Raw genomic sequence first — 26,553 nt, 5'->3', positions numbered from 1 at the left:
TCTGCTTTTCCTGAAGGCTTCCTTGTTAAATTTTAAACCCCTTCCTTGTAGGGTCTGTGATTTGAGCATCTCATAAGTGGTTCACCTTGTCAGCTTATTTTCCCATTTCTGAATGTCTCCCATTTCAAGTTCACCTTAGAGTGATATTAATCACAACTACATCAGACACCTCTATGAACATTCAAAACCTGCCTTTGACAGCCTGGCCAATGAATATCACGTATTATCTGTCCTCAACCTTCAGATCTGGGACAAACATGACTACTGTTTTCTCAATAAGAAGCACTGCAGGCTGGGTGTGGTGGCTCACGCCTGTAATCCCAACACTTTAGGAGGCTGAGGCAGGTGGATCATCTGAGGTCAGGAGCTTGAGACCAGCCTGGCCAACATGGTGAAACCCCGTCTCTACTAAAAATACAAAAATATTAGCTGGGCGTGGTGGCAGGTGCCTGTAATCCCAGCTACTTGGGAGGCTGAGTCAGGAGAATTGCTTGAACCAGGAGGTGGAGGTTGCACTGAGCCGAGATTGCACCATTGCACTCCAGCCTGGGCGACAGAGCAAGACTCTGTCTTAAAAAAAAAAAAAAAAAAAAAAAAAAAGGAAGCATTGCAGGACACAGCAAGATGCCATCTCTACAAATACAAAAAAAAATTAAAAATTAGCTGGGCATGGTTGTGCATGCCTATCTACAGTCCCCAGCTATTCAGGAGGCTGAGGTGGGAGGATCAATGGAGCCCAGGAGGTCGAGGCTGCAGTGAGCTGTGATCCCACCACCACACCACAGACTGGGCAACAGAGCGAGACTTTGTCTGAAAAAACAAACAAACAAACAAACAAAAGAAGCAGCACTGCAGGTAGAGCAGCTCTTTACCTTTTTTTTTTTTTTCTGAGATGGAGTCTCGCTCTGTCACCAGGCTGGAGTGCAGTAGCTCTGTCTCGGCTCACTGCAACCTCTGCCTCCCGGGTTCAAGCAATTCTGCCTCAGCCTCCCGAGTAGCTGGGACTACAGGCGTGCACCACCACGCCCAGCTAATTTCTGTATTTTTAGTAGAGATGAGGTTTTACCATGTTGGCCAGGATGGTCTCGATCTCTTGACCTCATGATCCGCCAGCCTCGGCCTCCCAAAGTGCTGGGATTACAGGCGTGAGCCACTGTGCCCAGCTGAGCAGGTCTTTACTTTTACACAAGTCTAGAAGGATCTATCCTGCTTCAGAAGCAAGATGATGGCACTTGGGCCTGAGATGTGCCATGAGAAACCAAGCCTAGGTTTCTTCCAAGCATAATACCAGATGGGAGGGCCAGGCGTGGTGGCTCACGCCTGTAATCCCAACACTCTGGGAGGCCAAAGCAAGGGGAATGCTTGAGCCCAGGAGTTTAAGACCAGCCTGGGCAATATAGTGAGACTTTGTCTCTACTGAAAATAAAAAATAATAACAATAAATGGAAAAAACCGAAAGGCCAGATGAGAACATCTTGATATACATAACATCTCCTTTCATAGGCAAAAACCACCATCATTACTGCAAATTTGCACTATTCTACCTATTGCTGTATTCCCTGCATCTTGTAAATGCTGGTTCCCTGGGAACACTGGCTCACACCTGTAATCCTAGCATTTTGGGAGGCCAAGGCAAGAGGATCACTTGAGGTCAGGAATTTGAGACCAGCCTGACCAACATAGTGAAACCCTGTCTCTACTAAAAATACAAAAAAATTAAGCCAGGTGTGGTGGTGCACGCCTGTAATCTCAGCTACTTGGGAGGCTGAGGCAGGAGAATCGCTTGAACCCGGGAGGCAGAGGTTGCGGTGAGCCGAGATTGTGTCACTGCACTCCAGCCTGGGCGACAGAACAAGACTCTGTCTCAAAAAAATAAAAAAAATTTTAAAAAATGCTAGTCCCCTCTTGCTCGATCTTTGTTTCCCCTTTCTCCACACTCCTCACCCCCACCCCCAAAAAAAGGAAAAAAACAAACAAACAAACAAAAAAACACAGAACATTGCTCACCAGACAGAATGGCTGCAGGGAAGAAGACGCCCTACATTTTCTATCATAGCAGTAACAAACCTTGGGTGTCACCAACCTTATCATCCGTTCACCAACCAATGCCTGTCCAGAGGGGTCACACTACTTAGATAAGGATGGATGGTTCTAACGTTTAAAGAATCCTGCCACTATGAGAAAGGCACTGAGCTGGAACCCACATAGGAGGATCAGACCACTGTCCCTGGCACTGAAGTGCCCCTCAGGAAGGTAGAGGCCAAAGCACAGGAAAAGTGAATGGGTAAAATAACACAAAAGATGTCACAAGTTGTTGACAAGTTGAGGACTTTGGGGTCACAGTGCCCAGAGGTGTCTGGTGCAGCTCCAGAGAATTTAAGCCAGACTCCCAGAGACCTGGGGGCAGCACAGTGTTGCTTTCTGCATGGCCGGGTGTGAATTCTGCTCCTACCATTAACTAGTGTGACATCAGTGTCACGTTGATGATATTTCATCAACTTTACACCACCGCTCGCTTGCGGGAATAATAAGCCCAAACATCCACTTCAAGGGATGTTGGGATGCAGAAGTGAAAATAGTGGCTGTTTAGCATATACCTGGATCTACCTCTTGTATAATATATGTCATCTATCAGAACCCATCTTGTTTCAATATCGCCTAAGAACGTCCTGCTGAGATTCTGTCCCATACCCAGAATGAAAGCTCTACCATCTATCCTGAACCTCTCCTTGCTGCCACCCTGTTCCATGCTCCGGGTACAGGCAGAAGTGCTCAGCGCCGCACCCGCTGCCTCCCTAAACATCCCAGGCTATCGGGAGCACCTCTCCTCCTGCTCCCACCTCTGCCTGACCACACGACGCCCCAAGCTGGGTCCGGACGCCTTCCCTCCCCGTCGGCAGCGCTCCCTGTGGTCCCTGTGCCTGCTCCTGGGGCCCTGACGCCCACCCTGCCACTCACCTGATATACGGGAGGAAGGGGTTGACGTGCCCGGAGAGCACGGCGACCACGTAGGAGATAATGAAGGCGGCTGACGACCAGGTCACCAAGAGGAAGGGGACGAAAGCCATTCCCCTCAGGAAGCACAGCATCGCGCCGCCGCCGCCGCCGACGGAGTGCTGCGCCCAGCGGGGCCGGGCGCCGGGTTGCTCCGGGCTGCCTGGAGGCGGCGGCCGGGCGCGTACACTCACGGACGGTGGGAGGGGAGGCTCCGCGACGGCCGGGGCAGGCCCAGCCCCGGAGGGAGGGGAAGCGCGAGGAGCGGAGCGAGGCTGCGGGCGGCGAGGCTGCCGGGCCAGAGTGGGTGGGGCGCGGGCTGCCCGGGCTTGTTGCGAAACGAGTGAAGTCACAAAGCGGCCCGGCAGGGTCGGAGGCGCCCGGCGAGCTCCAAGCGGACGCGACTACGGAGCCGCCGGAGGGGACGCGGGGTCGGGTTCCTTTCGCTTTTGGTTTGGACACTCGGCGGAGGCCGGGTTGGGCGCGGACGGGCGGCGTGGGGTCACTGGCGGGGACGCCCGCTCTGGCCTTCCCACTCTGGCCCTACCGCGCTGGCTCTTGCGCAACTCTGGAGAAAAGGATTTATTTCTCCCAACCCCTCCCTCCCGGGGGATTTCCGGAGTGCCGGGCCTCGCACCCCGAGGGCGCCCCCTCCGAGGTCCCGCCGCCGGCGCTTCGCAGCAGTGAGAGTGGCCACCGCGTGGTGACACCCATGCCATCCGGTCGCGCTGCTGCTGCGGGGGTCGGGCAGAAGTGTTCAATGAGGTTCGCCAGGTCACGGGGCGCAGATGTGGCTCCCACCTCAATGGTGAACACCCGAAAACCCAGACAGGGTGGGAACGGGTGGGGTGGAGAGTACGCGGGTGGGGTGCGGGGCAGGCGGGTGGGACTGCGCGCCCACGGAGCCGGGAGGCCCATTGTGCTGCTTTCCAGGAGAGCGCAACTGGAGAATATTTCCTGGAAATAAGATTTCCCAGGCCGGGCGCCGTGAATAGCCATCACTTTGGGAGGCATCCAAAAGCCATCACCCCTGGAATGCCACCACTTTGGGAGGCCGAGTTGGGAGGATCGCTTGAACCCAAGAACTAGAGATCAGCCTGGGTAACATAGCGAAACCCCTCTTCTACAAAAAAAAAAAAAAAAAATGAAAAAGAAAAAAAGCCGGTTCCAGTTACTCGGGAGACTGAGTTGGGATGATCACTTGAGCCTTGGGGGTCGAGGCTGCAGTGAGCCTTTATCACACCACTTCACTCGGCCTGGGTGACAGAGCAAGACCTTGTCTCAAAAAACAAACAAACAAAAAAAAAACAAAAAAAACTCCCCTCCAGGTTCTGGAGTAGCCCAGACTCGGAGCCTTGGCCTAAGATGATTAATAGTGACTTGATACATTTCAAGCCCTGTGAAAGGGATTTGTGTTCTGGAGGCACTTATAATATAAGCACATGATTTTGATAGTTTAGGGAGTCTGAGCCCAACATATGTGGCCAAAATTGTTGGGTCATTGGTGACCAAAGATAGGTTCCTTTCAGCCACAAACACATTTCATGGGCGCCATGCTAGGCTACAAAGATGAAATAGTAATAGTACCCTCAGGACGAGGACACTCATAGATCAAAATAACAAAATTAGGCCAGGCGTGGTGGCTCATGCCTGTAATCCTAGCACTTTGGGAGGCCAAGGTGGGTGGATCACCTGAGGTCAGGAGTTCGAGACCAGCCTGGCCAACATGGTGAAACCCCATCTCTACTAAAAATACAAAAAATTAGTCAGGCATCATGGCTCACGCCTGTAATCCCAGCTACTCAGGAGGCTGAGGCAGGAGAATCGCTTGAACCTGGGAAATGGAGGTTTTCTCAGTGAGCTGAGATCACACCACTGCATTTCAGCCTGGGTGAGAGAACGAGACTCTGTCTCAAAAATATAAATAAATAAAAACAAAATTATGTTATGTGGTTTATTAAATGGAAAGGAGAGGATTTTAAAAAGTAGAGACATGCCCAGAGCTGAGGGCCAGGGGCCTGGGCTCAGAGGAAGGACCACGGAGGTTTTCTGACAGATGACATCAGAGTTTTCAAAAGGAAGTAATTACTAACCAGGCAAAGAAAAATAAGATTAGCATTCCAGGCCCAGAAAACAACTGGAGGAAATGCATACACAGAGCTTGCTTCCCTGGGACTATGAAAGCACTTAAATAAGTGTGAGGCAGCAAATGGAGAGAGAAACAAAGAGGCAAAGTCACCAGAGTCCTGCTGAGAATCTTGGATTATTTTTGGTATTAAGGAGAAAGTAAGAACATGGGCAGACTAGTATTTCAAGAGATCACTGTGGCCGTGGAGTGAGTGCCCGCCATACAAAACAAAATAGAAAATTTAAAATAAGGCTTTTTAAAAACCACAAAAGCTGGCCAGGCATGGTAGCTCACAGTTCTGTAATCCCGGCGCTTTGGGAGGCCGAAGCCTGGACAATATAGTGAGACCCGCAACCATATCTACAAAAAATTTAAAAATTAGCTGGGTGTGGTGTTGCATAACCTGTGGTTCCAGCTACATGAGAGGCTTACGTGGGAGGCTCACTTGAGCCCGGAGTTTGAGGCTGCAGTGAGCTATGATCACACCACTGAACTCCAGCCTGGATCACAGATCGAGACTCTATTTCAAAAACAAATAAAAATTTAAAAATGGTCAGGTGCAATGTAATCCCAGCACTTTAGGAGGTTGAGGCAGGCACATGACCTGAGGTCAGGAGTTCGAGACCAGCCTGGCCAATATGATGAAGCCCTGTCTCTACTGAAAATACAAAAATTAGCTGGGCATGGTGGTGCGCGCCTGTAATCCCAGCTACTCGTGAAGCTAAGGCATGAGAATCGCTTGAACCTGGGAGGCAGAGATTGCAGTTGAGCTGAGATTGCAGCCACTGCACTCCAGCCTGGGTAATAGAGCGAGACCCTGTCTTAAAAAAAAAAAAATGGCCAGGCACAGTGGCTCACGCCTGTAATTCCAGCACTTTGAGAGGTGGAGGCCAGTGGACCATGAGGTCAGGAGTTTAAGACCAGCCTGGCCAACATGGTGAAACCCCGTCAATGCTAAAAAATACAAAAATTAGCCAGGCATGGTGGCGGGCACCTGTAATCCCAGCTACTCAGGAGGCTGAGGCAGGAGAACTGCTTGAACCCAGGAGGCAGAGGTTGCAGTGAGCAGAGACGGTGACATTGCACTCCAGCCTGGTCAACAGATAGAGACTATGTCTCTAAATAAATAAATAAATTTTAAAAATAAAAAATAAAAATCACAAAAGTTAGCAACCATGGTTTCATTGTAATCTCTACCTAGGTTTCTGTGTTCTGAAAATCACTCTATTCCTTCCCTTTTTTCCTTTCGTGCCCTACTACTGATTCATCAGACTAAAAAAAAAAACTCTCCCTAAGCAAAGAAATTATAATATCAAAGGGAATTCACCTGATCATCTTACCCTTCTGCTGCTTATGTAATTTCCTTAATTAAGCAATTCAATTGGCTAATCACTTTTAACACAGATATAAGAATTGTCTGGCCTGGCGCGGTGGCTCACACCTCTAATCCCAGCACTTTGGAAGGCCGAGGCTGGCGGATCACGAGGTCTGGAGATCAAGACCATCCTGGCTAACACGGTGAAACCGCGTCTCTACTAAAAATACAAAAACAAAATTGGCCGGGCGTGGTGGCGGGCGCATATAGTCCCAGCTACTCAGGAGGCTGAGGCAGGAAAATGGCGTGAACCCGGGAGGCGGAGCTTGCAGTGAGCCGAGATCGCGCAACTGCACTCCAGACTGGACGACAGAGCAAGACTCTGTCTCAAAAAAAAAAAAAAAAAAAAAAAAAAAAAAAAAAAAATCTGAGGCCGGGCATGGTGGCTCACGCCTGTAATCCCAGCACTTTGGGAGGCCAAGGCGGGCGGATCACCTGAGGTCAGGAGTTCGAGACCAGCCCAGCCAACATGGTGAAACCTCATCTCTACTAAAAATACAAAAATCAGCCGGGTGTAGTGGTGGGCCCCTGTAATCCCAGCTACTCGGGAGGCTGAGGCAGGAGAATCGCTTGAGCCCGGGAGGCGGAGGTTGCAGTGAGCCGAGATCATACCACTGCACTCCAGCCTGGGCAACAAAGAGCAAAACTCAGTCTCAAATAAAAAAAGAGTTGTCTGACTATAGAGCTAACAAGAATTTGTCACTTAAGATGAGTATGTATACACGCGAGCAGAGTACGAGTCTGAGGTGGAGGGAATCATGGCAAGCCAAGCGTTTAGAAAGTTTCTTCCACTCCTTGACCGAGTTTTGGTTGAAAGGCGTGCTGCTGAAACTGTAACCAAAGGAGGCATTATGCTTCCAGAAAAATCTCAAGGAAAATTATTGCAAGCAAGAGTAGTCGCTGTTGGATGGGGTTCTATGGAAAGGGTAGAGAGATTCAACCAGTTAGCGTGAAAGTTGGAGATAAAGTTCTTCTCCCAGAATATGGAGGCACCAAAGTAGTTCTAGATGACAAGGATTATTTCCTATTTAGAGATGGTGACATTCTTAGAAAGTACGTAGACTGAAATAAGTCACTATTGAAATGGCATCAACGTGAAGCTGCCCATTCTACTGAAGTTCTGAAATCTTTCATCATGTAAATAATTTCCATATTTTTCTTTTATAATAAACTAATGACATCCAGTGTCTCCAAAATTGTTTCCTTGTACTGATATAAACATTTCCAAATAAAAATATGTAAATGAGTGTAAAAAAAAGAGTATGTATACATATATATTTAAAATAAATACACTATAAATGTAAAAGTTCTGGCTTCTTTTTTACTTTTTTTTTTTTTTTAGAGAGTCTCACTGTGTCACCCATGCTGGAGTGCAGTAGTGCGATCTTGGCTCACTGCAACCTCTGCCTCCCGGGTTCAAGCAATTCTTGTTCCTCAGCCTGCCAAGTAGCTGGGACTACAGGCATGCACCACCATGCCCAGCTAATTTGTTGTTATTGTTGTTGTTGTTGTTGTTGTTTTGAGGTGGAGTCTCGCTCCCATCATGCAGGCTGGAGTGCAGTGGCACGATCTCTGCTCGCTGCAACCTCCACCTCCTGGGTCCAAGCGATTTTCCTGCCTCAGCCTCCCAAGCAGCTGTGATTACAGGCATGTGCCACCACCCCCAGTTAATTTTGGATTTTTAGTAGAGATAGGGTTTTCGCCATATCGGTCAGGCTGGTCTTGAACTCCTGACCTCAGGTGATCCACCCGCCTCCGCCTCCCAAAGTGCTGGGATTACAGGCTTGAGCCACCCGTGCCCAGCCAAGCCATTGATCTTAGGAGTAGTTTAGGGATGGTCAATCTTGTAGCCTCCAGCGGCATGACTCCTAAACCATAATTTTTAATCTTTTGAGTAATTTGTTAGTCCTACAAAGGCAGTCTAGGCCCCAGGCAAGAAGGGGGTTTATTTCAGGAAAGGGCTGTTATTGTCTTTGTTTCAAACTATAGTCTATAAACTAAGTTCCTCCCAAAGTTAGTTCGGCCTATGCCCAGGAATGAACAAGGACAGCTTGGAGGTTAGAAGCAAGATGGAATTGGTAAGGTCAGATCTCTTTCACTGTCTGTTATAATTTTGCAATGGCAGTTTCAGAGTCACACGATTTTTTTTTTGTTCTCCAGTGCATATAGAATTTATATTTACATTATACTATAATCTATTACGTGCACAATAGCATTATGTATTTAAAAACCATGTACAGACCTTAATTTAAAAATATGGCCAGGCACAGTGGCTCATGGCTGTAATTCCAGCACTTTGGGAGGCCAAGGAAGAAGGATCACTTGAACTCAGGAGTTTGAGACCAGCTTGGACAACATAGTGAAACCTCATCTCTACAAAAAAATCAAAAAATTAGCTAGGTGTGGTCATGCACACCTGTGGTCCCAGCTACTTGGGAGGCTGAGGTGGGAGGACTGCTTGAGCCCATGAGGTCAAGGCTGTAGGGAGCCATAGTTGTACCACTGCATTCCAGCCTGGGTGACAGAGAGACCCTGACTCAAAAAAAAAAAAAAAAAACAAACAAACAAAAAAACAAAATAGTGCTTGCTTTGGCAGCACATAAACTAAAATTGGAACAATACAGAGAAGATTAGCATGGCTGCTTTAAAAATATATTACAAAATAATTTTTTAAAAAACTTTATTGACTGGGCTCAGTGGCTAACACCTGTAATCCTAGCACTTTGGGAGCCCAAGGCGGGCAGATCACAAGGTCAGGAGTTCGAGACCAGCCTGGCCAATATGATAAAACCCTGTCTCTACTAAAAATACAAAAATTAGCCAGGCATGGTGGCGGGCGCCTATAGTCCCAGCTACTCAGGAGGCTGAGGCAGGAGAATTGCTTGAACCCAGGAGGCAGAGGTTGCAGTAAGCCAAGATTGCACCACTGCACTCTAGCCTGGGCGACAGAGCAAGACTCTGTCTCAAAAAAAAAAAAAAAAAAAACTTTTATTGGTGGCAGGGCATGGTGGCTCATGCCTGTAATCCCAGCACTTTGGGAGGCTGAGGCAGAAGTATGGCTTGAGGCCAGGAGTTCAAGACCAGCCTGGGCAACATAGTGAGGTCTTCATCTCTACGGGGAAAAAAAAAAAAAGATAAATATGTATTTTTAAAAATACTTTATTGCAAAACATTGCTAATCATCATCTGAGCCTTCAGCAAGTCATAACCTTTTTGCTGTTGGAGTGTTTTCCTTGATGTTGATAGCTGCTGACTTAGGGTGGTGGTTGCTGAAGGGTGGGGTGGCTGTGGCAATTTCTTAAAATAAGACAGGGAAAATTGACTCTTCCTTTTACAAAAGATTTCTCTGTAGCATGCAACTCTGACAGCATTTTACCCACAGCACAACTTCTTTAAAAATTGGAGTTAATTCTCTCAAGCTCTACTGTTTCTTTATCAATTAAGTTTATGGAATATTCTTTTTTTTTTTTTTTTTGAGACAGAGTCTCGCTCTGTCGCCCAGGCTGGAGTGCAGTGACCCCATCTCGGCTCACTGCAAGCTCCGCCTCCCGGGTTCACGCCATTCTCCTGCCTCAGTCTCCCAAGTAGCTGGGACTACAGGTGCCCGCCACCACGCCCGGCTAATTTTTTGTATTTTTAGTAGAGACTGGGTTTCATCATGTTAACCAGGATGGTCTCGATCTCCTGACGTCGTGATCCGCCCGCCTCGGCCTCCCAAAGTGCTGGGATTACAGGCGTGAGCCACTGCGCCCGGCCAAGTTTATGGAATATTCTAAATCCTTTGTTGTCATTTCAACAATGTTAACAACATCTTCAAAAGGAGTAGACTCCACCTCAAGAAATCATTTTCTCTGTTCATCCTTAAGAAGTAAGTATGGCTGGGTGCAGTGGCTCACACCTGTAATCCCAGCATTTTGGGAGGCCGGGGCAAGCAGATCACCTGAGGTCAGGAGTTCAAGACTAGCCTGGCCAACATGGAGAAACCCCATCTCTACTAAAAACACAAAAATTAGCTGGGTGCAGTGGCGTGCGCCTGTAATCCCAGCTGTTCGGGAGGCTGAGGCAGGAGAATTGCTTGAACCAGGGAGGCAGAGATTGTGGTGAGCTGAGATCACACTACTGCACTCCAGCCTGGGTGACAGAGTGAGACTCCATCTCAAAAAAAAAAAAAAAAAAGTAACTCCTTGTCTGTTTACCTTTTATCGTGAGATTGCTGCAATTCAGTCACATCTTCAGGCTCTACTTTTAATTTTAGTTATTTTGCTATTTCCACAATGGAGGAGTTACTTCCTCCACTGAAGTCTTGAACCCCTAAAAGCCATCCATGAGGGTTGGAATCAAGTTCTTTTAAACACCCATTAATGTTAATATTTTGACCTCCTCCCATGAATCATGAATGTTCTTAATGGAGTCTAGAATGATGAATCCTTTCCAGAAGGTGAATCCTTTGCCCAGATCCATCAGAGGAATCACTATCTATGGAAGGTATAGCCTCATGAAATGTATTTCTACAATACGACTTGAAAGTTAGGGGCTGGGCATGGTGGATCACACGTGTAATCCCAGCACTTTGAGGCAGGAAGATTGCTTGAGCTCAGGAGTTCAAGGCCAGCCTGGGCAACATGGAGAAACCCCATATCTACAAAAAATTTTTAAAAATTAGTTGGGCATGGTGGCATGTGCCTGTAGTCCTAGCTACTTAGGAAGCTGAGTTGGGAGGATAGCTTGAGCCTGGTAGGCAGAAGTTGCAGTGAGCCACAATCACACCACTGCACTCCAGCCTGAGTGTCAGAACAAGACCCTTTCTTAAAAAAAAAAAAAAAAAGAAAGTTGAAATTACTCCTTGATCCATGGGCTGCAGAATGGTTGTGTTGGCAGGCATAAAAACATTAATCTCCTTGTACATCTCCACCAGAGCTCTTGTGTGACTAGGTGCATTGTCAATGAGCAGTAATATTTTGAAATAAATCTTCTGAGCAGTAGGTCTCAAACGTGGGCTTAAAATATTCAGTAAATCATGCTGTAAACAGATGTGCTGTCATCCACATGTTGTTATTCGTTTATAGAACACAGACAGTGCAGATTTAATGTAATTCTTTTTTTTTTTTTTGAGACGGAGTCTCACTCTGTCACCCAGGCTGGAGTGCAGTGATGGGACCTCGGCTCACTGCAACCTCCGCCTCCTGGGTTCAAGCAATTCTCCTGCCTCAGCCTCCCAAGTAGCTGGGATTACAGGCACGCGCCACCACGCCCAGCTAATTTTGTATTTTTAGTGGGGACGGGGTTTCACCATGTTGGCCAGGCTGGTCTTGAACTCCTGACCTCGTGATCCCCCCTACCTCGGCCTCCCAAAGTGCTGGTATTACAGGCATGAGCCACCATGCCTGGCCTTTTTTTTTTTTTTTAATTTGAGACAGAGTCTCGCTCTATTGCCCAAACTAGAGTGCACTGGCATGATCTCGGCTCACTGCAAACTTTGCCTCCCAGGTTCAAGTGATTCTCCGGCCTCAGTCTCCTGAGTAGCTGGGATTACAGGCACACACCACTACACCCATCTAATTTTTATTTTTAGTAGAGACTGGGTTTCGCCATGTTAGCCAGGCTGGTCTTGAACTCCTGACCGCAGGTGATCCGCTGGCCTCGACCTCCCAAAGTACTGGGATTACAGGCATAAGCCACCATGCCCAGCCTCATGTCTTTACTTCTATATGTTTTTATTCACAGGCAGTAAAAACCTCAATTATCTCTCCATTCAAAAAGTTGGAATATCTCCTCTCTCTCTCTTTTTTTTTTTTTTTTTTTGAGACGGAGTCTCACTCTGTCGCCCAGGCTGGGGTGCAGTGGCATGATCTCACCTCACTGCAACCTCCGCCTCCCAGGTTCAAGAGATTCTCCTGCCTCAGCCTCCCGAGTAGCTGGGGTTACAGTCGCCTGCCATCACACTCGGCTAATGTTTGTATTTTTAGTAGAGATGGAGTTTTACCATGTTGGCCAGGCTAGTCTCAAACTCCTGACCTCAGGTGACCCGCCTGCCTCAGCCTCCCAAAGTGCTGGGATTACAGCCGTGAGCCACCATGCCTGGCCAATCCCCTCTCTTAGAGTGTGGACTAAAGCTGGAGATGGTGGCTCATGCCAGGAGTTCAAGACCAACCTGGACAATATAGTGAAAACCCACCTCTACAAAAAATACAACAAATTGGCTAGGCATGGTGATACACACCTGTAGTTCCAGCTACTCAGGAGGCTGAGCTGGGAGGATTACCTGAGCCCAGAGGCAGAGGTTGCAATGAGCTGTGCTCACACCACTGCACTCCAGCCTAAGTGACAGAGTGAAACTCTGTCTGAAATAAATAAATAAAATGTAAAAAAATAATAAAAAGGAGTGTGGACTAAGTGATTTGCTTCTGAAGACTTGAGTATGGAAAGAGAAAAAAAGATCTTTGCAGGAGAAATATGGTAGACACCAATTTAACAAGCTGATTAAAGTTAACATTGAAACCACCATTGCAAAATTATAACTGAGCTGACCTAACCAACTCCATTTTGCTTCCAACCTCCGAACTGTCCTTGTTCATTCCTGGGCATAGGCTGAACTACCTTTGGGAGGAACTTACTTATAGTTATGGTTTAAAACAAAGATAAGCCAGGCATGGTGGCTCACGCCTATAATCCTAGCACTTTGGGAGGCCAAGGCAGGCGGATCACCTGAGGTCAGGAGTTTGAGACCAGCCTGACCAACATGGCAAAACCCTGTCTCTACTAAAAATACAAAAATTAGTCAGGCATGGTGATGGATGCCTGTAATCCCAACTACTCAGGAGGCTGAGGCAGAAGAATTGCTTGAACCCGGGAGGTGGAGGTTGCAGTGAGCTGAGATTGTGCCATTGCACTCCAGCCTGGGTGACAGAGAGAGACTCTGTCTCAAAACAAACAAACAAACAAAAAACAAAACAATCACAAAAAAAAACAAAGATGATAACAATGATAACAGCCCTTTCCCAAAACAAACCCCCTTCTTGCCTGGGGACTAGACTGCCTTTGTAGGACTAACAAATTAGCCACAAGATTAGAAATTATGGTTTAGGAATCATGCAGCTGGAGGCTCCAAGATTCTGACCCTACCTACACTGTTCCTAATGAAGCAGGATATTTCCCTGACCCCTTCACGGGACTTGCAACAGGGGTGCCTTGTTTACTTAGCCCACCACTCTCAACTCCTTGCAGGAGGAAGCACGCAAGCAAGCAAGGCAGGAATTGGAGTGCACAAGCGCTGGAATTGGCTGGCTGCTTCAGCACCAGTGGGATCAAACTCCACTCACGCAGGCCCATTGTGTTCCACCCCTTGCGGGAGGGAGCACACAGGTGAATGGGTGCAGGAGCCAGAGTGAGTGCTTTTGGGCACCAGCAGCAGTGAAGTTTGTGCAGGCCCCTCAGCAGTGTCCAGGCAGAGGTACCTGCAACTTCCAAAGCCCCAGGGGGCGTGTTACAGTGCTCTTTTAGCTCTGCCATCCATCAGCAACTTTGTTAACAGCTCAGTGGGCCCGCTGCCCTTTCGTGTAGGCAGCTGCCCTCTGCCAGCAAAGGCTAAGGGCCAATAGACAGCCTTTTGAATCCGCACTTGTGGCTCCTGAGCTCTTGTCCAGAGTCCAGGAGAAACGAGGTCACATAAACGAATTGAAGGATGGTCATGCAGGGGATTTTATGACGGATTAAAGTGGCTTATAGCGGGAAGGGGAGCTGAAAAAAAAGATAGAGTGGGTAGGTAATCTTCCCCTGAAGTCAGCTGTCTCTGGCCGGATTGTTCTCTGAAGTTATGCCATCAAACTGTCCCTCTGAAGTCAAGTCACTTCTCTCCAACGTCCAGCCATAGTCCCCAGTGTCCAGCTGCTTCTCCTTTCTGAAGGTGAGTCTGGGGTATTTATAGGCACAGGCTAGGGTAGGGCGGGGTCATAGGTGATTCAGGAAAAGGCAACATTCAAGCGGGAAAACGGGGATATGAGTTCTGACTTTGAGCCGTGGTCTCAGGCTTTTCAGCTTGAGGGTGGGGCTTCACCAGAGACCTGCCCCTGTCTGCCTAGAATTTCTCTGCCTCCTGCCTCTTTCATTGTATCACTAAGATCAGTGCTTGAGATATTTTGCAGACCCTGCACTTGATGGATCAGCTGGAACCACCCTAGATGGATAAATTGGCTCATCTGATCTCGCGGCCCCCATCCAGGAACTGACTCAGCACAAGATGACAATTTCAACTTCCCGTGATTTTATCTCTGACCCAACCAATCAGCACTCTTGACTCACTGACCTTCCCCACTCACCAAATTATTCTTAAAAACTCTGATCCCTTGCCAGGCGCAGAGGCTCATGCCTGTAATCCCAGCACTTTGGGAGGCCAAGGCGGGTGGATCACAAGGTCAGGAACTCTAGACCAGCCTGACCAACATGGTGAAACCCCGTCTCTATTAAAAATACAAAAATTAGCTGGGTGTGGTGGCAGGCACCTGTAATCCCAGCTACTTGGGAGGCTGAGGCAGGAGAATCGCTTCAACCGGGGAGGCGGAGGTTGGAGGAAGCTGAGATCGCACCATTGCACTCTAGCCTGGGCAATAAGAGCGAAACTCTGTCTCAAAAAAAAGAAAAAAACCAACAAACAACTCTGATCCCTGAATGCTCAGGGAGACTGATCTGAGTAATAATACAACTCCATCTCCCACACAGCTGGCTCTGCATGAATTACTCTTTCTCTATTGCAATTCCCCTGTCTTGATAAATTGGCTCTGTCTAGGCAGTGGACAAGGCAAACCCATTGGGCGGTTACAAATTTGGGGCTCGTCTGGGATTGCCCTGTAATTACCTGCCTGTGGTTCAGTAGCCCCCCTCCAGCAATGGATCCAGAGGCCAGCCCAAGCAGCCACCTAGTTCTCTTGGACTGGGGGCTGACTCTGGTACTCTCTACTGGTGGGACACGGTTGACCCAAAGAGATGAATTTGGCAGGGTGTCTGTTTGTAGCTCCATCATAGGTTGTCTGTTTTGTTTGGCTCCTGGGAGGTCTCACTTGGCTCTCCCTAACTAATAGGAAGATTCCTGATTCTGGAGACTTCTCCTTGATGAGGAAGATTTCAGGGAGATTTCTCAGATGGAGAATAGGATAGTTTGGAAGGGATACTCTTGGAATTCTTGGTTAGGGATCTGATTTGGAAGGCCTTCTGTCTGTCATATCTTTGTGTGTGTTTGTATATGTGGAAGGGATCTCAGAAGGAATTGCTGATGGAAGTCCAGCATGCCTAACTCAGAGAACCCTTCTTATTTGTCCGGTGACATTTGGTGAGCCCTGAAGAAAGTTCAATAGGCCTGTCTCGGGGTGTAATTCTCATAATGTGTGTGTGTGTGTGTGTGTGTGTGTGTGTGTGTGTGTGTGTGTGTGTCACACAGGGTCTCACTCTGTCACCCAGGCTGGAGTGCAGTGGCATGATCTCAGCTAACAACAACCCCTGCTGCCTGGGTTTAAGCAATCCTCAGCCTCTCGAGTAGCTGAAGCTACAGGCATGTGCCACCACACCTGGCTAATTTTTGTATTTTTATTAGAGATGGGGTTTCGTCATGCTAGTCAGGCTGGTCTTCAACTCCTGACCTCAGGGTTTTGCCATGTTAGCCAGGCTGTTCTCGAACTCCCAACCTCAAGTCATCTGCCCACCTCAGCTTCCCAAAGTGCTAGGATTACAGACATGAGCCACTGCGCCTGGCTAATTCTCACAATTTGGAAGGCTAAGGTGGGAGCATCACTGGAGCTCAGAAGTTCAAGCCCATCCTGGGCAACATAGGGAGACCCCTGTATCTACAAAAAAATTTAAAAATTTAGCCAAGTGTAATAGCTGGACCTGAGGTAGGAGGATTGCTTGAACCCAGGGGGATGAAGCTGCAGTTAGCCATGATCTCGCCAACTGCACTGCAGCCTGGGCAACAGAGTAAGACCTTGTCTCAAAAACCAAAAATACAATCTCATATAATTTCACACTTCATTAGTGTCTTAGTTTGGGCAGCTATAACAAATTACCATAGATAGAGTGGCTCCAATTACAATCATATATTTCTCACAGTTGTGGATGCTGGGAAGTCCAAGATCAAGGTGCTTGCAGATCCCATGTCTGGTGAACCCCAGCTTCCTGATTTGCATCATCTTGCTGTGTCCTCCCAGGGTGGAGAGTATAAAGAGAGAGGAAGCCAGCACATTTCATGACTTCTAATAAGGGCATCAATCCCATCATGAGGGCTCCACCCTTATGATCTAATTACCTCCCAAAGCCTCCACATTCTATTAGCATCCCATTGTGGTTTTCTTTTTCTCTTTTCTTTTTTTTTTTTTCTTTTTTCTTTCTTTTTTTTTTTTTTTTTGAGATGGAGTCTTTCTCTGTCACCCAGGCTGGAGTGCAATGGAGTGATCTCAGCTCATTGCAATCTCTGCCTCCTGGGTTCAAGCAATTCTCCTGCCTCAGCCTCCCAAGTAACTGAGACTGCAGGTGCATGCCACGAAGCCCAGCTAATTTTTGTGTTTTTAGTATAGATGGGGTTTCACTATGTTGGCCAGGCTGGTCTCAAACTCCTGACATCAAGTGATCCACCTGCCTCGGCCTCCCAAAGTGCTGGGATTACAGGCATGAGCCACTGCAACTGACCCTGTTGGGGTTTAAGCTTTCAACAAATGACTTTGAAGGGGACACAAATATGTAGCTCATAACACTGAGTCACCTTATTGATACAGAATGCCTGGGGTCCCAGCTAAACCCACTCTAAGCCTGGCCCTAAGTGAAAACAGCTGACTCCATTTTTCCACCCAAACGCTGCCTTTTTGGTCTGCCCTGCCCCTATGCTGTGCCCACAAAGAACATCAGCCGGCAAAGCAAAAAAAAAAAAAAAAAAAAAAAAATAGCTAAGCGTGGGGGATACAAGCGGCTGAATGGCAAGCAGAGAAGCAGCAACTGAGCATTGGAAACTACGGATAGACACAGCTAACTTCAGATGGTGCGGCTTCAAGGAAAGATCCCTTCTTCCCACACCATCCCCTTTCCAACTCCCATCCCACTGAGAGCCACATCCATCACCCAATAAAATCCTCTGCATACACTACCCTTCAATCTATTCATGTGACCTGATTCTTCCTGGATGCCGAACAAGAACCTGGGTTCTTGAACACTGCACAGAGCCTGCTCCCACCAGAGAGGAGTGACTGGGTGGTTCCAGCATTCATTCCCTCCGGTTCCCACATTCACTTGCTCACATGCTACCTCTCGTGAGGAGTGGCCAGCGGTGGGCTGAGTAAAAAGAGCCATTCCTGTTCCCACTCATGACGGGGGTCAAGGTCAAGGGAACAATCCCATTTCACTATGACAACCATACTCCTTTTTTTTTTTTTTTTTTGAGATGGAGTCTGGCTCTGTCGCCCAGGCTGGAGTGCAATGGTGTGATCTCGGCTCACTGCAACCTCTGCCTCCTGGGTTCAAGCGATTATGCCGCCTCAGCCTCCTGAGTAGCTGGGATTACAGTCATATGCCACCATGCCTGGCTAATTTTTGTATTTTTAGTAGAGACCGAGTTTCACCATGTTGGTCAGGCTGGTCTGAAACTCCTGACCTGGTGATTCGACCATCTCGGCCTCCCAAAATGCTGGGATTACAGGCATGAGCCACTGTGCCCGGTCTGACAACCATACTACTTTTCTAAGTTGTATTGTAGAAGCAGAAAACATATGTCGAGGCAGAAATGATGAGATGTTCACCTGGGATAAGAGATTTATGCTACTTTTCTACTGTGTAGTTCTTGCTGGGAAGAGGCTTCTCAGGCAGGGACTTCATTTCCTAGGCCTCTGAGAAAAGAAAAATAACTCAGAGCACCCTGTGGTATGGGAAGTATGTAAAATTCAGCAGGCCAGAAAGACATGAGTAGAGGACTTCAGCCATGCCCTGCCATGCCCATGCCTGAGGACAATTGTTTAAAGATATTTTGTTCCTGACTAGCTGCCTTACCCATTATCATTGAATTCCTGGAATTTGTGATGCAAAGAACAATGTACGGCCAATCAATAGCTTATGTTATTTGAATATAAATTCTTGGGAAGCAAGTTAGGAATTACCTTTTCTTTTTCTTAAAAACCTACTTGGCTGGGGGCTGGGGGGTAGTTTTGGGATGAGACAAGCACATTAGTTATTGTGTACTTTATTTCTATTATTATTATATTGTAATATATAATAAAATGATTATATAACTCACCATAATGTAAAATCAGTGGGAACCCTGAGCTTGGTCACCTGCAACTAGACAGTCCCATCTGGAGGCGATGGGAGATAGTGACAGATCATCAGACATTAGATTCTCATAAGGAGCCCACAACCTAGATCCCTGGTATGCACAGTTCACAATAGGGTTCATGCTCCTATGAGAATCTAATGCTGCCACTGATCTGACAGGAGGCGTGGCTCAGGTGGTAATATGAGCAATGGGGAGTGGCTGTAAATGCAGATGAAGCTTTGCTTGCTCACCTGCTGCTCACCTCCTGCTGTGCAGCCTGGTTCCTAATGGGCCACAGGTGGTACTGGTCCATGGTTCAGGGGTTGGGGACCCCAATGTATAGTATTATTCTTACTTTGTAAAATAAAATGCATGTGTATTAATTTATGAAAAATAAGCATGAAGAATGAATCTGTAAAATGATATACCAAATTATTAGCAATGTCATCTGGAACCATATGATTCTCCTTTTATTTTCATTTATAAAAATATCTGTATGTCTAATTTTTTTACACTGGATATATAGCATGTGTTCAATAAAGAAATAGGAAGGAAGAAAGGGGGGGAGGGAGGGAAGGAGGGAGGGAGGGAGGGAGGGAATGCATTCACACCCACACCTTTATATATATATATTTTTTTTTTTTAAATAGAGACAGCATCTCACTGTGTTTCTCAGGCTGGCCTTGACCTTATGAGCTCAAGCAATCCTCTTACCTTGTCCTCTCAAACTTGTGGGATTATGGGTGTGAACCACCACAGCCCGCCCACATCTTTATATCTTTTGAAAAAAATCAAGATACTGTATTTTTACATTGCAAGATCATAGGGATCATTACACCCAAGTAGATGTTACATCCTCCATCCAAGAGTCCTTTGAAACACTTAAGTTTATTTGAGTGAGAGTGCATAACCATTGCTCTGAACAAAAGGGGCACACATACTAGTGTGTACTCTCTCTTTAAAAAGCACCATGAATATTACAACATCTACTCTCCCTTTTGTGATCAGGAAGAAACTTAAAACGAGCTCTTGTGGGTAGGGACCAGGTAGAATCTCTTCCTTCTATTCCTGCTTCTGGCATTGAGCATTGTTACAATGGGGATGTCAAGACTGGGACTAGCCAGTGCAGTGTCAGTGGTCACCATGTGAATGGCTCACCCTGTGTGTGTGCATGTGCATGTGTGTCTCTGTGATTGAGTGCACATATGCGCCTGCACATGTCTTTTTCATGGCAGAGGCCCCTCACCTGTGAATGGATTCTAGGCCCTGTTCGCTGGTGTGGAGGGAAGCACTCCTTTATAGAAACTGGGGACACTTCAACATGTTCTCAGTGAGTTTTGGATAAGACAGAGATTACACAGCGAGCTGGAGACTTTTCTGAGCTATACTTACTTATATATAACTAACCTCCAAAGATACACTGTTCATTTCTTTGTGGATCATTCATCTGGCAAGCTTCTGTTCTTTCTTCACGTTATTCTCCTAGAATGTAAGCTTCATGCAGGTAGGAATATCTTTCTCCTTTATTCACTACTGTATACCCAGGCTTGGAGCTGGGCTTGACATAGGCACTTAATAAATGCTTGTGGATTGTATTCTCCTCAGCAATGGCCTTCTTCAGGAAGCCCTTCCTAACAGCCCCAAAGTGTGACCTCTGTGTCACTTCTCTGTATCCTCAGGCTCTTTATATTACAGATTTCACAATGTTAACTTGTCAACCTAGTGGATAGACTCTAGACTCTAAATGTTGTGAGCAGGAATTGAATCTTACATATTTCTATTTCCAGTGCCAAGCACCAGCACAAAATAAGTGGTTAATACATGTTTATTGAAAACATGTGTACAGATAGATGCATGCTTGATAGTAGTTTGACACTATTACCTATAGAATCTGATGCTATACATTTGTACATACCAGCAGCATAGTAGCACCTCATAAAAGGTACTGTAAACCCTGTGAGTACAGACATCAGAAGGAAGAAGCAAAGGTTTAAAATTTTTCATTACTCAAAGGGAGAGAGCACCAGTGCCCTTTGTGGGAATGACACTTGACTGTTTTAAGGATAATCTGATTATTACAAGTTATTACAAGTTTGGGCAATGGCATTAAATACATCTTAAGTTTCATATTTTTTGGCAGATGCTTTCATGCTACCAGAGATGAAGAAAAAAAGCACATTTGAGAAATTTGGGAATTTCCATTATGACAATGTGAGAAATTCTTGTAAGTTTTAAGAGGTCAGGTTTTTTTTCTCCCTTCCCCTTATGAATAGTTTCTAAATTACCTCATGAATATAGGAACTCATATGATCTGACTTTCTCAGTTTAGCTAATCATAAATCTCTATTTACTTCAACAATTCTACATAGGGTATTCCTACAAGGTGCAGTTCATGTTTTAGTTGTCATTATCTGCAGACAAACTGAGTATGATACTCCCATTCACAAAGATCTCATTGATTTATCTCTCCACACAGTGAATACATTACAAAAGGAGGAAAAGATTTTGTCAGGTTTTTTTGTTTGTTTTTTTGTTTGTTTGTTTGTTTTTTGATACAGAGTCTCCTTCTGTTGTCCAGGTTGGAGTGCAGTGGCGTGATCTTGGCTCACTGCAAACTCTGCCTCCCAGGTTCAAGCGATTCTCCCCCTTCAGCTTCCCGAGTAGCTGGGACTATAGGCGCCCACCACCATGCCTGGCTAATTTTTGTATTTTCAGTAGAATCGGGGTTTCTCTGTGTTGCCTGGGCTGGTCTCAAAATCCTGACCTCAGATGATCCACCCGCCTCGGCCTCCCAAAGTGCTGCAATTACAGGCATGAGCCACCACTCCTGGCCACAGTTGTTTTTCTTTTTATATCTGATATGAATTGGACAAGAATTGAAAGTGGCTATGATAATGACAAAAAGTTCAGAAGGTAATTGTTTGCTTCCCTGCTCAAGGACAAAGAGAGGAGGATTCTTTTGAGAGAGGGGTTTCTTTCATAATTCTTTTACTTAAAAATTAATATCTTGCTGGGCACAGTGGCTCATGCCTGTAATCCCAGCACTTTGGGAGACCAAGGCAGGAGGATCACTTGAGGTTAGGAGTTTGAGACCAGCCTGGCCAAAATGGTGAAACCCCATCTCTACTAAAAATACAAAAATAAGTCGGGCGTGGTGGCATGCACCTGCAGTCCCAGCTACTCAGGAGGCTGAGGGAAAAGAATCACTTGAACCCTGGAGGCAGAGGTTGCGGTGAGCCCAGATCAAGCCACTGCACTCCAGCCTGGGAGACAGAAAGAGACTTTGTCTCAAAAAATATGTAATAATAATAATATTAATTAATGTCTTATTCAGAAACCACTATCCAGGATCCATGATTAATTCATTCAAAAGTTGATTGAGGATGTACAATTTGTCATTGTGCTTTGTGATCAAGAATATGGAAAGGAAACACTCAGTGCCTGAATTCAAGGTCATGGTGTTCAAATGAACTTGATTCATCTAGGGGATAAGTGGTCCAGTGTGACTGGAACACATGAGGATAAGGCTGGGGAGACTGGTGGTGATGACATTATAAAGGACCTTGTGTAACATGCTAAGGAGATTGGATTTTGCCCTGAGAGCAACAAGGAGAGCTCATGAGTAGGGTGGTGTCATCACCAAGTTTATTTTTTGTGGTGATAACTCCGGCAACCCTTAGATAGATTGGACTAGAGATAGCATTAGCGATTAACATCAGGAGGGTCGTTTTAAGAAATGCTAAAAACCTAATTTAAGGCAGTAGATTGTGGATGGAGAAAAAGGATTTGCTGGCCAATTGGATGAGCAGAGTAAGAGATAGAAGAGTTGAAGAAGAGGAGAAGTTGGTTCTAGTTTGAAAGGCTCAATGAACTGGGCATGGTGTCTAGTGCCTGTATGCCCAACACTCTGGGAGTCTGAGGCGGGCAGATCACTTGAGGCCAAGAGTTCCAGACCAGCCTGGCTAACGTTGTGAAACCCCATCTCTACTAAAAATAATACAACATGTAGGCCAGCATGGTGGTGCACATCTGTAATCCCAGATACTTGGGAGGCTGAGACATGAGAATTGCTTGAATTTGGGAGGTGGAGGTTGCAGTGGGCCAAGATGGTGACACTGCACTCCAGCCTAGGTGACAGAGTGAGACTGTCTCAAAAAAAAAAAAAAAAAGGATCAGTGAATATTAATCATTAATTGAGCCAGGGAATAGAAGAAGTCTGGAGGATTATGAATTTGGTTTTAGACATCCAACAGTTTGAGATGTCTGTAGGACACCTAGGTGAAGACAACTGCTAGATAGTTGGAAATTGACTTGGGAAACATCAGTGGAAAGGGGTTGGTATATATGAGATTACCAAAGAGCAAATGCTGCAGTGGAATCAGCACAAAGGGGAAAAGAAGAGGTCGGTTTGGGCAGATAAGCAGTCACTGGCAATCTTTGTAGGAATTTCAGGAGAGTGGTACAGATAGAAGCTGGATTGCATGGAACTGAAAAGTAAAGCAGTAGGTTCAGACTTCTATTCCAAGAAGATAGGTGGAGAAGCACAAGAAGACAAAATGGAGAGATACATTTGGGGGTTAGAACAGAATGCTTTCTGAGAGAGAATATGAAGACATAGCAGAAGTAAGTGATGAAGCAAGAGCAGGAGGAGGAGGAAGGAATTAATAGTAACAAAAATGTGTTTACTTCTCAGAAAATTTTCAGGTTTACCCATCTCAGCCATGTAATTCATGTGCCTGTGCTTAGACCGGATATATCATTCAGGAGTTCTTTCCATTCTGGCTAATTATAATGACCCCAAATCCTAAGGGGCTGGAGAGTTACATAATAGCACTGTAATGCATTGCAGTTCCAGTGAGAGGTTAACATGTGACTCAATGAATAACTCAGCTTGCTGACACATTTATGGACAATGAGCCATCTGAGCATTTCAGAAAAAATTATAGATCTACAGAAAGGTTCCTTAGAGGTCATCTAGTCTAATGCCTTGGATTTGTGCAAGAGGAAACTGTAAAACCAGAGAGGTAATGTGTGCATACTCACATATTATTTAGTGGCAGTCTCCTTCATAATGATCATAATCCAGGTTTTATGGTCTCATCCAGGACCTTTGTCCTCACATTTCTTTGGTTAAAGAATTAAAATAAGAGGCCGGGGGCAGTGGCTCACACCTGTAATCCCAGCACTTTGGGAGACTGAAGAGGCAGTATCACTTGAGGTCAGGAGTTCGAGACCAGCCTGGCCAACAGGGTGAAACCCCATCTCTACTAAAAATACACAAATTAGCCATGCGTGGTGTTGTGCACCTGTAGTCCCAGCTTTCAGGAGGCTGTGGCAGGAGAATCACTTGAGCCCGGGAGGTGGAGGTTGCAGTGAGCTGAGATCACGCTACTACACTCTAGCCTGGGTGACAGAGCAAGACATCATCTTTGAAAAAAAAAAAAGAATTAAAATAAGAAAAGTCTTATTTAAGATTGGCTCAAATTACTCATCAGCAGACCAAAATCTGAAGCATTAAGTATTCTGATTACTTTTTTATGTTTATTTTTTATAAACAGGTCTTTGTGGCAGAATGCATTCCAATTCCTATCAAGTGCAGTTTTCAGTGCTTTTGCTCAATTCTGTCGTTATTATGTCATCATTAATATGTATTGAGCTCCAATGTTTCAATATCAAAATTTAAATATTATGTGTTAGCCTGTTCTCATGCTGCTGTAAGGACATATCTGAGCCTGTGTAATTTATAAAGGAAAGAGGTTTAACTGGATCACAGTTCCACAGGGCTTGGGAGGCCTCAGGAAACTTATAATCATGGCAGAAGGGGAAGTAAACATGTCCTTCTTCACATGGTGGCAGCAGGAAGTGCAGAGTGAAGGTGGTGTAGGGGGGACGCTCTTTAAAACCATCAGATCTGGGGAAACTCACTCACTATCACGAGAACAGCATGGGGGTAACTGCCTCCATGATTCAATTACCTTCTACTAGGTCTCTCCCATGACACGTGGGGATTATGGGAACTCTAGTTCAAAATGAGATTTGAGTGGGGACACAGCCAGACCATATCATATATCTTAGCTATGTAAAAACATGTACTCTTGATTTTGTATAATTAATCTAAAAAGAGAAGAGGAGCAGAAGACACTCAAATTTGATAGTTAAAGGGTGATATAAATGTTGTACCTCCCCAAATAGTTTTTTCTCTATAAACTTTTTCCCGTTCTTGCAAACATTCCTCACTTTGGGACTAGGAGATGTTTATTGCCTCAGGGAAAAGAAAGAGAAGAACTAGCTTTAGGTCAAGGAAGAAAAACAAAAATTCTAAAAGGGACGTCTACCCAGAGGGAAGCCTTCCTCTGGTCTAGTGGTGCAGGGTGTAGAAGATGTGCAGGAAGAGATTAGACACCAAGACCCTTGCTTTACACATAGCTCCTTCTCCCTGTTGAAACTCAAGGGGTTGTAGTGATAAGTGTTAGCCAGCTTGCTTTAGGCAGACAGTAAGGGAAGGGTCCCCGGAGAACCTCCCACCCACCCTACAAGTGCTTACACCAGATGTTTTGTGCAGATAAGGGAACTTGCACGGGGAGCTTGCCTAAACATGCCTGCAGTGGAAAATTCCATTCCTTAACACATACACAGTAAGGGAAATAAATCAATATGGAGCTGCTCAGTCCAAGGGCCTGCATCAGCACTGGAAGGACAGGGTGGAGCCACCAGAAATTCATGCCTTAAGCCCTGGTATTCAACTGTGAAGGGGGCAACCAGTAAACTGCTTTCAGGTCCCCTCTTTTTGCTGAGAGCTTTCCTTTCACTTAATAAATTCTGCTCCACTCACTCTTCAAGTGTCTGCATGCCTAATTCTTCCTGGTTGTGAGATGAGAACCCAGACCTAGTGGTGGTAAGGAATAAAAAATCCTGCATCAGTAGCTGATTAGAAAAGTGAAAACCCAGTTTATGTTGAAGAGAGAAAATATATGTAAAGACAGATTTAACCTGACTTCTTGTTTTGAAATGGAGAGAACACCACTGCAGAGTGCACCTAGGCTTACGGTGATGTAATGGTAGCCTAATTAGCCTAATTCAACAGTGCAGACCTCCCTTGATGACTTGGAAGAGAGTCAAAAGACCCCTTTTCAGCATCCTTTTTGGGGAAGTGAAAGGTAATTGAGTGTGACCTGCCATTGGGTCACCATGAGGAAGTGGGTAGACAGGGACCTGATAACCTCTACCACATGTCTGAGGGAGGCAGTGGCTGAGCCTTGAAGGGATGCAAAAGTGAGGTCAAGTCACATTTGTAGATCAATGGGCCCTACCACAACTGATATGGTTTGGCTGTGTCCTCACCCAAATCTCACCTTGAATTGTAATAATCCCCAGGTGTCAAGGGCAGGGACAGGTGGAGATAATTGAATCATAGGGCATTTTCACCCATACTATTCCTGTGGTAGTGAATAAGTCTCTCAAGATCTGATGGTTTTATAAAGGGCAGTTTCCCTGCACAAGCTCTCTTGCCTGCCACTGTGAAAGACATGCCTTTGCTCCTCACTCGTCTACCGCCATGATAGTGAGGCCTCCCAGCCATGCGGAACTGAGTCAACTAAACCTCTTTTCTTTATAAATTACCCAGTCTCAGGTATGTCTTTACTAGCAGTGCGAGAACAGACTAATATACGCCAACCAAGAGGACAGACCAATAGTCATACTGCACACTCTAGCAGCAAATGTCCCCAGTGTCCCAGTGGCTGAGCATAACCAGGGTATCAATACTAAGTTGAGCAA

The 26,553-nt window shown here is 46.0% G+C and overlaps 1 protein-coding gene and 2 pseudogenes across 3 annotated transcripts in view, besides 12 other annotated features; 2 read left to right on the top strand and 1 right to left on the bottom strand.

Moving 5' to 3' along the window:
* DRAM1 (DNA damage regulated autophagy modulator 1) overlaps positions 1 to 3,299 on the bottom strand; it is a 46,033-nt gene extending 42,734 nt beyond the window's left edge. For all 3 annotated transcript variants that reach the window (NM_018370.3, XM_005269004.3, XM_005269005.3), the window contains exon 1: positions 2,959 to 3,299. In NM_018370.3, the coding sequence (NP_060840.2) occupies positions 2,959 to 3,089 (131 nt within the window). In that variant the 5' untranslated portion in view covers positions 3,090 to 3,299. The remainder of the gene's footprint in view (positions 1 to 2,958) is intronic.
* Positions 2,331 to 3,112: an enhancer, noted in NCBI's record as "H3K27ac-H3K4me1 hESC enhancer chr12:102271545-102272326 (GRCh37/hg19 assembly coordinates)". NCBI's record gives its function as "activates a minimal SCP1, AML or CMV promoter by ChIP-STARR-seq in primed H9 embryonic stem cells {active_cell/tissue: H9 hESC(primed)}" and the evidence as "EXISTENCE:reporter gene assay evidence [ECO:0000049][PMID:30033119]".
* Positions 2,331 to 3,895: a biological region, named in NCBI's record as "H3K27ac-H3K4me1 hESC enhancers GRCh37_chr12:102270762-102271544 and GRCh37_chr12:102271545-102272326".
* Positions 2,413 to 2,462: an enhancer, noted in NCBI's record as "active region_6870". NCBI's record gives its function as "activates an Ori minimal core promoter by ATAC-STARR-seq in GM12878 lymphoblastoid cells {active_cell/tissue: GM12878}" and the evidence as "EXISTENCE:reporter gene assay evidence [ECO:0000049][PMID:35858748]".
* Positions 2,603 to 2,692: an enhancer, noted in NCBI's record as "active region_6869". NCBI's record gives its function as "activates an Ori minimal core promoter by ATAC-STARR-seq in GM12878 lymphoblastoid cells {active_cell/tissue: GM12878}" and the evidence as "EXISTENCE:reporter gene assay evidence [ECO:0000049][PMID:35858748]".
* Positions 2,913 to 3,252: a silencer, noted in NCBI's record as "silent region_4773". NCBI's record gives its function as "represses an Ori minimal core promoter by ATAC-STARR-seq in GM12878 lymphoblastoid cells {active_cell/tissue: GM12878}" and the evidence as "EXISTENCE:reporter gene assay evidence [ECO:0000049][PMID:35858748]".
* Positions 3,113 to 3,895: an enhancer, noted in NCBI's record as "H3K27ac-H3K4me1 hESC enhancer chr12:102270762-102271544 (GRCh37/hg19 assembly coordinates)". NCBI's record gives its function as "activates a minimal SCP1, AML or CMV promoter by ChIP-STARR-seq in primed H9 embryonic stem cells {active_cell/tissue: H9 hESC(primed)}" and the evidence as "EXISTENCE:reporter gene assay evidence [ECO:0000049][PMID:30033119]".
* Positions 3,273 to 3,322: an enhancer, noted in NCBI's record as "active region_6868". NCBI's record gives its function as "activates an Ori minimal core promoter by ATAC-STARR-seq in GM12878 lymphoblastoid cells {active_cell/tissue: GM12878}" and the evidence as "EXISTENCE:reporter gene assay evidence [ECO:0000049][PMID:35858748]".
* Positions 3,503 to 3,662: a silencer, noted in NCBI's record as "silent region_4772". NCBI's record gives its function as "represses an Ori minimal core promoter by ATAC-STARR-seq in GM12878 lymphoblastoid cells {active_cell/tissue: GM12878}" and the evidence as "EXISTENCE:reporter gene assay evidence [ECO:0000049][PMID:35858748]".
* Positions 7,217 to 7,743, top strand: HSPE1P4 (heat shock protein family E (Hsp10) member 1 pseudogene 4; annotated as a pseudogene).
* On the top strand, positions 9,078 to 9,137 carry RNU6-1183P (RNA, U6 small nuclear 1183, pseudogene; annotated as a pseudogene).
* Positions 20,881 to 21,050: an enhancer, noted in NCBI's record as "active region_6867". NCBI's record gives its function as "activates an Ori minimal core promoter by ATAC-STARR-seq in GM12878 lymphoblastoid cells {active_cell/tissue: GM12878}" and the evidence as "EXISTENCE:reporter gene assay evidence [ECO:0000049][PMID:35858748]".
* Positions 24,941 to 25,617: a transcriptional cis regulatory region, noted in NCBI's record as "candidate enhancer chr12.3153 targeted for multiplex CRISPR interference". NCBI's record gives its function as "positively regulates DRAM1 gene expression with high confidence in K562 cells {active_cell/tissue: K562}" and the evidence as "EXISTENCE:mutant phenotype evidence [ECO:0000015][PMID:30612741]".
* Positions 25,597 to 26,096: an enhancer, noted in NCBI's record as "H3K27ac-H3K4me1 hESC enhancer chr12:102248561-102249060 (GRCh37/hg19 assembly coordinates)". NCBI's record gives its function as "activates a minimal SCP1, AML or CMV promoter by ChIP-STARR-seq in primed H9 embryonic stem cells {active_cell/tissue: H9 hESC(primed)}" and the evidence as "EXISTENCE:reporter gene assay evidence [ECO:0000049][PMID:30033119]".
* Positions 25,870 to 26,087: a transcriptional cis regulatory region, noted in NCBI's record as "candidate enhancer chr12.3152 targeted for multiplex CRISPR interference". NCBI's record gives its function as "positively regulates DRAM1 gene expression with high confidence in K562 cells {active_cell/tissue: K562}" and the evidence as "EXISTENCE:mutant phenotype evidence [ECO:0000015][PMID:30612741]".

Source organism: Homo sapiens, chromosome 12, assembly GCF_000001405.40.
Source record: "Homo sapiens chromosome 12, GRCh38.p14 Primary Assembly".
Classification (NCBI taxonomy): domain Eukaryota; kingdom Metazoa; phylum Chordata; class Mammalia; order Primates; family Hominidae; genus Homo; species Homo sapiens.
Note: the sequence above shows the minus strand (reverse complement) of the source record. Positions and strands in the feature narration are given on the sequence as shown.